Source organism: Homo sapiens, chromosome 14 (genome assembly GCF_000001405.40).
Source record: "Homo sapiens chromosome 14, GRCh38.p14 Primary Assembly".
Taxonomy (NCBI): Eukaryota; Metazoa; Chordata; class Mammalia; order Primates; family Hominidae; genus Homo; species Homo sapiens.
Genome location: NC_000014.9, coordinates 96,693,315 through 96,703,785, shown reverse-complemented (window position 1 = coordinate 96,703,785; position 10,471 = coordinate 96,693,315). Strand labels below are relative to the sequence as shown.

General features: G+C 48.3%; 2 annotated features.

The window, feature by feature from the left end:
- Window positions 4,383–4,582: an enhancer, noted in NCBI's record as "active region_8990". NCBI's record gives its function as "activates an Ori minimal core promoter by ATAC-STARR-seq in GM12878 lymphoblastoid cells {active_cell/tissue: GM12878}" and the evidence as "EXISTENCE:reporter gene assay evidence [ECO:0000049][PMID:35858748]".
- Window positions 9,385–9,985: an enhancer, noted in NCBI's record as "NANOG hESC enhancer chr14:97160138-97160738 (GRCh37/hg19 assembly coordinates)". NCBI's record gives its function as "activates a minimal SCP1, AML or CMV promoter by ChIP-STARR-seq in primed H9 embryonic stem cells {active_cell/tissue: H9 hESC(primed)}" and the evidence as "EXISTENCE:reporter gene assay evidence [ECO:0000049][PMID:30033119]".

Here is a 10,471-nt window from a genome sequence, read left to right as displayed (position 1 = left end):
ACATCACATGTGTACATTTACTAAACCAACGCTTTTAATGAAAAAAAATACAGTATAATTTACTGTGCTAGTCACAAGATAATGACCGCATTGGTTTTGCTTAATGGATTTTTACCACCCTGCCTCCACCCCAGGAACAGGGTCTGTATTAGTTCGTTTTCATGCTGCTGATAAAGACATACCTGAGACTGGGCAATTTACAAATGGAAGATGTTTAATGGAGAACTCACAGTTCCACGTGGCTGGGGAAGCCTCACAATCATGGTGGAGGGCAAGAAGGAGCAAGTCACATCTTACGTGGATGGCGGCAGGCAAAGAGAAAATGAGAGCCAAGCAAAGGTCATGGGTCCTCTTATCAAACCATCAGATCTTGTGAGACTTATTTGAGACAGTATGGAGGAAACCGCCCCGATGATTCAATTATCTCCCACCGGATCCCTCCCACAACACGTGGGAATTATGGGAGTACAATTCAAGATGAGATTTGGGTGGGGACACAGAGCCAAACCATATCAGGTTCTCTGTGGGACACACACACAGAAGTTGCACAGAGAGAGTCTCCTTGTTTCCATCCTTCAGTGTGTCCATGAGACTGTGTCCGTAACCTCATCTGGAGAATCTACCCAACGTCCACATTCGAGGTTCCTTGTTACTATGAGCAACCCCACTTCCTCCCTCCATAAGCTCTGCTTTTCAGAACACCAAGCCACCACCCTGCAGTCTGTCCCCTGTGCCCCGTCCACAGTGGGTGCCAGGTGAGTAGCAAACCACTTGGAGAAAGGCTCACTTTGGTCAACAGACAACCCAGGGAGAGTGTAAGTCAGGTCCAGACACCCTGCTGGCCACTCATCCCACAAGGAACGGAGGTCACAGTCCTTCCCACCCCCCTTCACCCCGCCCCCACTCTGGCTTATTTTCCCCAGTAGCACTTACTACCATACCCTCTACTGTGTTTTCTCATGTGATTATTTCTGTCTTCCTCCAACATGAGGGCAGGGATGATGCTCACTTACTAGCTGCGTGTCTGCTACCATTTAGCACTGTGCTGTGCGTAGTAGGTGCTCAATAGCTGTCAAGCGAATGAACAAATGGCCCTCTCCCTCAAGGCACCAACCAAGCTACCAGGCAGGGGTGGTCTGTCCCCCATGGGTGTTTCTCAGCCAGCCCCAGAGCCTGGCTCCCAGGCCCTTCCCTCTGCTAAGATCAGCAGCCCAGGGGCTTGGCCTGCCACATTCTGCCCAGGCTGATGAAAGCAGCCAGTTTTTCTGCAGACACATACCTCCCTCAAAACTGGTACCGACAGCCAGATCTCCTTAATTAGGGAGGCTCAGCCAATGACCTATGGCATGAATACATTACGTGGATGTCTTTGGGGTGATATTTTCTGGCTTTTTGAACAGGTCCCTCATTAATGACCTGCTCAGTCCCCTGCTGAAACTGTGCCAGGCTCATCCCAGGGGAAGGCAGGGGCTCCCAGGGAGAGGAGAGAGACACACATCCCAAGCAATCTCGGTTGAAAGCTGACCTATACCGTATGCTCACAGGGGAACTTACCCCAGCTAAGTCATCTGGATGTGCCTCAGTTTCCACAACAAAATGAATGGGAAGGCCATTTTCCAATCCAGGAAAAATAAAATGGATACAGCACACAATACTCTGCAAAAAGGACCCATCTACCTGAATGATCTGGAAGGACTGACCCCCCCGGGCTATATCATTGATGATGATGGTGACGATGAAAAGCTTTAATAAGCACCTATTTATGCCACTCTGTTAGGTGTTACCACAAAACTTTTCTCATTTAAACTTCCCTGCAATTCAAGAAATAGGCATTATGACCCCATTTCACAGATGCAGAGCTGGCCCTCGAAGGATTGAGTGACAATGCTAGTGGAGAGGTCAAGTGGGGGAGCCAGAAGGTCTTTTGAGAAGGACCCTGTCAGAACCCAACCCCTTGTGCTGCCTGCACAGATATCTCAGGCTCCAAGAGAATCAAGCCCCTCCCCTGGCCACATGGCCTAAGTGGCCAGACACACAAGAGATGCTCCCAGCCTTGCTGACCTCTCACCTTGTCCCTAAGACCAAGTGGCCTTGGAATATTTAGTGAGACCTGCTGGCTGAGGAGTGGAGTAGCCTGAGGGGCAAGCAGGAAGAGGCCAGGTCAACACAGTGAGGCCTCAGATGAAATTAGGAAGAGCATCCAGAGTACAACTGACTGCCGAGCCCCAGGCAAAAGGATCAGGCCAGCTCTCGGGCCAGGGCTGGATCCTCAGGGGATGTGGAGTCTCTCACTGGGAACCAAGTCCAGAGCTCAGAGACCATGGCAGGTAGAGGCTGGGAGAGGTCAGTCACTTCTTGACACTTTGATTGTGGACTCAAGCTCTTTTCCAAAGGGGGTTCCATAGGAAACCAGTCACACTCGGTGCTTCTAGGTGGGAGGGGCAGGGGAGGGGGGGTCCTGGCCCAGCACACAGCACACTCCAAAAGATGCCAGTGACCTTCTATGTCACCAAGCACAGCCCTATATTCCTTGACTATGGGTGCCTTTCCATCCGCTCCCTCTCATTTAGAAATACTGGCTTATAACAGTTTTCTTTCCCACCTCAAAGCAGGGAGGAAACTCTGTTCTGCTTGGTAAGTCCATTGAGACTAGGGGTCTACAGAAAGGTATTCAAGGAGGAGGGAAAGGAAAAGAAACTCATGTTTGCTGAAGTCCTGCCATTAGCAGGCACAGGCGAGGCGCCTTTACACAGATGAGAGCGTTTCATCTATCAGTCGCGTAAAAGTGAGCATTGACCGTTTTTCCCTGCCCAGCATCTGTTCTCCAATCTTCTAAAAATGGCACCCAATTTTCCTTTTTTAGGCACCCACCCCCTACAACTCTTTTTTCCTCAAATAACAGCTATATTAAGACATAATCACATACCATACAATTCACCCATTTAAAGTGTTCGATTCAATGGTTTTTACTGTCTTATTATTTATTTATTTTTACAAACAGGGTCTTGCTCTGTGGCCCAGGCTGGAGTGCAGTGGCGTCATCATAGCTCAGTACAGCCTCGAACTCCCGGGCTCAAGGGATCCTCCCGCCTCGGCCTCCTAAAGTGTTGGGATTACAGGCGTATGCCACCATGCCTGGCCTCAGTGGTTTTTAATATATTCACAGCTATGTGCAAACATCGCCACAGCCAATTTTGAACATTTTCATCACCTCAAAAATAAACCCTGGGATGGGCGCAGTGGCTTACACCTGTAATCCCAGCACTTTGGGAGGCCAAGGCGGGTGGATCACTTGGGGTCAGGAGTTCGAGACCAGCCTGGCCAACCTGGTGAAACCTGTCTGCACTAAATAAACAAAAATTGCCCAGGCATGGTGGCGCAGGCCTGTAATCCCAGCTACTCGGGAGGCTGAGGCATGAGAATTGCTTGAACCCAGGAGGCAGAGGTTGCAGTGAGTAGAGATTAAGCCACTGCACTCCAGCCTGAGTGACAGAGCAAGACTCCATCTCAAAACAATAAATAAATGAAAATAAAATGATGTACCCCCTTTTAGCTTCCCTCCTCATTCCCCCATCTCCCCAGACCTAAGGAACTACGAACCTACTTTCTGTCTCTATAGATTTGCCTATTCTGGACATATCTTATAAATGGAACCATGTACTATGTTGTCTTTGATGTCTGGCTTCTTTCGCTTAGCACAGTGTTTCCAAGGTTCCTCCACATGGTAGTATGTGTCAGTGCTTTGTTCCTTCTTATAGCTGAATAGTATTCCACTGCGTGGATAGACCACACTTTGTGTACCCATTCACCCATTGTTGGACATTTGGGTTGTTTCTGCCTTTTGGCTATTATGAACAATGCTGCTATGAGCATTTCTGTACAAGTTTTTGCATGGGCACATGTTTTCATTTCTCTTGGGTATGCACCTAGGAGCAGAATTGCTAGGTCATATGGTAAGTCTACAGTTTACTATTTGGGAAACTGTCAGGCTCTTTCCAATGTGGCTGTGCTATTTTACATGTCCACCAGCATGTATGGGGTTGTGATTTCTCCGCATCCTCACCATTACCTGTTATTATCTGGTCCTCCCTAACTCATGATCCATGCCGTTGCAAGGAGCTCCGCAGCTGTGCAGGAACTTTACCTTAGCCACTCTCTCCTACCTGTACCTCCATACCAGGCACTCTGTGCAATGGAAAATGGTGGAATCTATACTGAAGAGTAGTAGGTCGTGTCTTCTGGGGGAGAAATTCTAAGGCAGACACTAAGGGAAGTAGAATTGCCAGGTAGAAAGAGCCCAGTTCTGAGACTGAACTCTGGCCCCCCCCTGCAGGCTGGGTGGCATATGCACAGCTCTGAGCCACAGTCTCCTCACCTGTAAAATGGGATCATGAGACCTTTCTCACGGGGCTGCCGTGGGGAGAGCCTGAGATGACACTTGCATGATCCGTTATTTGAATTTGCCTCACATAACCCCCTACGCAATGTCGGGGACTTTCCAAACCATGCCCTGGGTGTTTCCCCATTCTGCTTGCTGGGATTTGACACATGAGTTTCATCTTTTTTCGAGCTGCACCAGCAATGCCGCTTCCTTTCCTCTGCAGCTCGGGGATCTGGTGACCACACCCACTGTATTATCGAATGTTCGTGATTTGCCAGGCCCCACGCTGGAGTTTCCCAGATGCAGTCTCTAATCCTCACAGCCACTCTGAGAGAGGTTTCCCAGCTCCAGTTTTCTGATGCAGACGTGAAGCTCAGAAGGTAGAGAGCTTGCCACGGGTCACCCAAGCAGGACATGGCAAAACCAGAACAGGACGCCAGGCCCGGCTGCAGCCCATGACTGTCCTCATGTCACACCCAGGGCGCTTCCTCTCCCCTTCGTTCCTCTTCATGTGTGCAGAAAGGCTGGTCCACAGACTAACAAAGGAACCAGGCAGGAAGCGCCTTCTCTCCCCGGCTCTAGCCCTCGGCAGGCCGCCGTCACCTCCACTCCCTGAGCCCACCTGGCCCAGTAGTTAACAACATCCCGGGTATCATGACGACGAGAAGCCGGCAGTTTTCAGCTGCAATGGACTCCTTTTCGGCTCTGCACTAAAAGTCCATTAAGGATGCCCCCTCCTCTAAAGTGTGTCCTCAGGTTAAATTCTTTCTAAGCAGATGTTTATTTTTAGAGAGCCACTGTATGGGCTATTATTGAATGCTTAAGCAGTTCCTTAAGATGAGGGTCACTGAAGGCCTCCACTGTAGAAAAACATCCATATAATACCACCTGCTGAACAACACTGCCAAGGGCGGAAAAAAGGAGTCTTTTATTTAAGGAAGGAGGAATTTGATGAGGGGGAAAAAAAGAACTCTGAGAGCATTTCTGCTGAAAGAAGCAGACTTGCATGTTTGCATTCAATGTGGAAACAGATTCAATAAAGTACATTTTCCCAGGTATTTTGAATGACAATGACAACACCTATGAGGGGCACAGGGGACCGGCTGTGATGCGGAGACACCAACAGGCCTTGAGCACGCGGCTTCTAACGAGGTCGGAGGTTAATGTACGCTTCACGGTGCCCTTTCGTATGTTGTGTTTCTATCTCATGCTTTTAGGCAGGGGAGGATGAAAGACCTCAGCTCTCAGACAACTTGTGGGATCTGGAAGAGGAGGCTGTGGGGCTTCCTTTTGGGCTGGAGAGTGGAGGTTTTTATGAGATGCTGCCAAGGGCACTAATAGTTTTTGTCCCCATGCAGTGGTGCTGAGCCCAGATTTGAAAACAACAATTTAAGAAGGAAATGAGAGTCAACGTGTCCCATGCGCTTACTGTATGCAGTTCCTCTGGAAGCTCATGCTATGTCTTGGCACAGGCAACCTCACACCACCAGAGGAAGCGGGGGTGTTATGGCTCCCCACTTACAGCAGAACCAGGTCAGAGAGGTTAAGTCTCTTGCCTGTGGTAGAGATTACAGTGTGTGTTCATTGAAACTCCTCTCCTTTTCCACAGGGACACACAGCTAATGAGATGCTCAGGCCTCTTTGTTAGGTGTGGCAACAAGACTGGGTTCTGGCCGAGGAAATGCAGGCTGAAGGGATGGGCACCACCTCTAGGCCCAGCACATAACACCCTTCCATGCGCTCCTGCAAGCTCTTTCCACATCCACTGGCTGAACAGAAGAGCACCCGAAGACACAGGAACACAAGATGGAAGGGGCGCAGTGAACACAGGGTGGCTGACTGGCCAGGAACACCTGCATTAGATTGTAGTGTGAGTGATAAATCAGCTTTTTGGGTTTGAACCGCTGATAACTCCGGGTGCAGCTATCATGGAAGGCTGTAGGAGTAGAAGCAGCAACCAATTTCACTGTTATATGACCCAGAGAAAACTCGGAGAGTTGAAAACCCGGAGCTTGGCTCTGCTTGGTGCAAGATTCTCAGTTGGTTCTCCTTGAGACCACTCTGCCTCTCTGACTTAAAATGAGTTCCCCAGAAGCAGCTCCTGAAATGCGGATTCCTGTGAAATAATCAATGAGGAAGTGTTCCAGGAAAATCAGGTAGGGGGACGAGGAGGTGGAACAGGGGAGGGAAGGAGGCCAACAAGGAATTGGCATCGAACAAAGTTCCATGGAGGTCAACTGCGGCTCAGTGCCCCAACCTGAGAGTTGTCCCAGTCAGGGTGAGGGAGCTGCAGCATTCATACCTCTGTACCAGTCCATCACTGGAGAAGGGATGGCCTCTGCAGAACATCAACCCAGTTCCCAAGCACGGCCAGGCCTTCATGAACATGTGCTGAAGGAAGTCCTCTAGCACAAAGACCTACGGCAGGCTGCTGGGAGTGGAGACACATCAGCAGCCTGTGGGCCAGAAAATGATCAAGTGATCACAGGGGATGAAGTGGAGAAGTGAACTTGAGGGGACAAGTGAAGCTTCTGCTACCCTTTCCAGGCTCAGTTTTGCCATCTGGACAAGGTGAGAGCTCAGGTCTCCTCTAACTCAAACTTTCTCTGGCTATGTGACCTCAAGATAATACTCCCATCCCCAGCAGGCTGTTCCTGGGGGCTCAGGAAGACACTGCAGCCATCCAGAAGTAACAATGGTCCTCTCAGCAGCAGCCAGAAGCCTGGTAAGGAGCACAAAGTGCGGGTGATGCTCTAGCAAGAGGCTCGTCAACATGGCACCATGAGCAACCAAGAAACTTCTTCATCTGTCCCAGCTCTCGTCACTCTTCTGCTATCTCTAGCAATCAGAGATGCAGTGTTGTGGGGCAAATTCCAGCTTGTAATTTGCAGCACAGGCTTCCTTGGGTGTCATGGCCAAGGGCCATGATGGGATTTTCATACCAAGAAATGGTTAGGACTTACAGCGGCATGTGCCCATCTAGTGAAACAAACTTAAGGAGGGTAGATGGACCATACTTGGAAGGAAGAGGGCTTTGAGAGTCAGAGGGACTGGATTTGAATTATGGCTTTGTCTCTGACAACTGTGTGACCTTGGGCAAGTGACATACTTCTCTGAATCTCATTTTCACTGTTGTCAAACCACACATAATCTTAGGGTTGTTGTGAGAATTAAACTGGACATTTTATGTAAAGCGAGTAGGCATTCTGAAAACTTCGCCCTTTTACTGCCTTTATTTACTCATTGTATGCCTTATGATCAGTGCTCAAGAAATGTTGGTTGCAAGGGTGAATATGTGGATGGACGGATGGATGGATGGATGGATGGATGGACGGACGGACGGATGGATGGATGGATGGATGTTTGATGTTTACATGATGGATAGATGGAAAGGTGGATTCACAAATGGTCTAGACAACTCTCTGGAGATGATATGCCCACTAAAAATATTGATGCAATTCATGGTTCTCTAACACTCAGTCTTTTCACAAAGGGTTCATTTACTCGTCTTTCTTAGGCAGTCTCTACTCTTCTTTCTGCCCGCTTTCCCTTTCTTCCAGCCAGAACTCCTACTTACCTGTAGTCCCTGGACAGCCCACTTTCTGAGACTGGTTTACTTCCCAGCTGGGAACCTTTAAGAAACATCCTGGGAGAAGCCAGAGGAAGGGTGGAGCCCAGGAAGCAATGTGGTCAAGGCAAAATAAGGCTAGTTATGTTAATCAGTTCAATGGAGGCTGTTTACTGATCCTAGAGGTCAGAACAAGCCAGGAAGATGCCAATGGGCAAAAGGACACAGGCTCTAAGGAGAATGGCAGAACAGAGAGTCAGAGGCTAGGCCGGGGGATCGCAACTCCACCAGCCAATGGAATAGCCAATGGCGAGGTCAGGCCTGAGGCAAGAGGTGCCCAAAGTCAACCATCCCATCCCTTTTGCCCATGGCCATTCAAAACATCACTATTTAATACTATAATTCATATCCCCTCTTCAAAATGAAAAGAGTGGGGTAGACCAAGGAAAGAGGACATGACCAGGATTACTCATGAAGTTAATTGGAACTGGGACTGAGGTAGCCTCACTCAAATTCTATACTAATCACAGCGAAGGTTTGGATAATATTAAACAACATAGCCTTACATTTATATGGTGCTTTGAGATTCAAAAGCAATTTTCTATACATTATCTTGTTTGAGCTTCATACAAGCTTGTGAAGGGAGGCAAAAATGGGATTTCAGTCCTGTTTGCCAAAGGAAAAATCCCAGCATGGGTCAGTGGCATGGCCAGGAAAAGTCTAGGTTTTGGAATCAGGCCGACCTAAGTACTAATCCCAACGCTGCTGTGTAAGCTTCTTCAAGTTACTTTCCTTTGTCAAATCTCATCTGTGGAAATAGTAATGCCTATTTTCCAGAACTGCTGAGAAAAACAAATGAGAAAGTATGTATCACAGACCCGCATATGTGAATGGGACATGGTGGATGCTCAGCAGATGCCATTTCCTGAGGCAGATTAAATGATCGGCCCCAATTCCTCACCTTTCCCTGCACTCACAAGCTTGAGATGGCCTTGTTGTAGACAAAGCGCTTTTCCCTACCTCCTGACTTTGGGCTTAGTGGTGTGACTTCCTTGGCAGTGGCATATGGGCAGGAGTAAGCTGGACATTTCCAGACCTAAACCTTAGGAGACCTTGTTGTCTTGAGCTTCTGCCATTCCTGTAAGAAACCTTTCACCTGGGTAGCTGCTGTCTCTTAGCCTGAGCGCAGAAAGGAGATACACATAGAGCAGAGATGCCCCACCAAGCACCACCAGATCCAAGTGTGAAGCAGAGCTGCTATCTGAGCCCAGACAACCTGCAGATTGGTAAGAATAAGTGATGTTTGAGACTACTGAGTTTTGGGGTGGTTTGTTATGCATCATTTTGTAGCAATAGCTAACCAATACATCTCTTTCCGTGGGGCGCTCCTTAGGTTGCCGTCTGCTAACTTAGACGCCTGAAATAGACCCCATCTCTCCTGGAAAGGAATCTAGCATGTTTTTCCCTCACTGCCATACTGTCTCACCTCCTTGATGTACAAGTTTTGCTCCAAATGTCTGTCTCCTGCAGACACTGGTGGAGTACCTCTCTCTTCCAGCAGCATGTTAACAGAAATGTTTTCACAGGCAAAGATAAAGCAACAGAGTCAAAGGCCTGCTTCTCAGCCTCTAAAAGAATCCTTTGTTGGTGATAATGCCTTTGTTGACAGTGCTCACATTCCTAGATCAACCACTCAGCATAAGTTAGGGACAGAGGTGTTCGTTTCACCAAAGCTGCCCACTTCAGTTTTCTCTTTGTCAAAAGAAGAAACATTAAAAGTGCTTCATATGTACATTTAAGTACATCATTACTTTCCGAGTGCTTTATCATCGCTACCGAGTGTTCTCCTTCCATCACAGGGAGACCTTGACTCGCAGTCAATCACATTGCCTTCTGCTTTGGGGCTCCTCCGCCAGATGGGTTGCAGGCATTGTTCCACCAGCGCTATTGATGCCTAATGTGAAGGAGTTGGAGAGGAAACTCTCCAAGTAAATAGATACACTTTCTGTTTCCATTCAAGGCTTTGAGCCATTCTTTAACCTCCAATGATGCTGGATAAGTCATTTTTGCTTAGGAGGTCTGAAAAGGCTCAAAGGGAGGAATTTTCCTCATGGACCTCCATTTATCTCAGTAGATAGTAGGAGGAATACAAAGAGAAGAGAGATAGTGCTGGGTGAACTTGAGATGATTTGGGGGTCTGTTTGGTTTGGTATGTGCAAATTGGATGATGAGTGTGAAGGTTATCTGAATTTAATTGAATTTCTCTAATCCCTTAAGGCACTTAGGTTTCACAGAGTTACCTAATACCTCCCGGGTGCAGACAAAATAGAAAGTGCAGAAGAGCCCTGCTGTTGTCCTGGAATGCAGTCTCCCTTGGCATAGCCCTGAGGCTAGTGGGGATGGATTCTGTCCCGTCCCCTCCACTGCTCCAGCCGCTCATGCAGCAAACTGTAGCAAAGACCTCTTAGCCTCTGCCGTTTGCAAAAACAGCACCACATCTGTTCTCTCCTTTAACCTTGGTG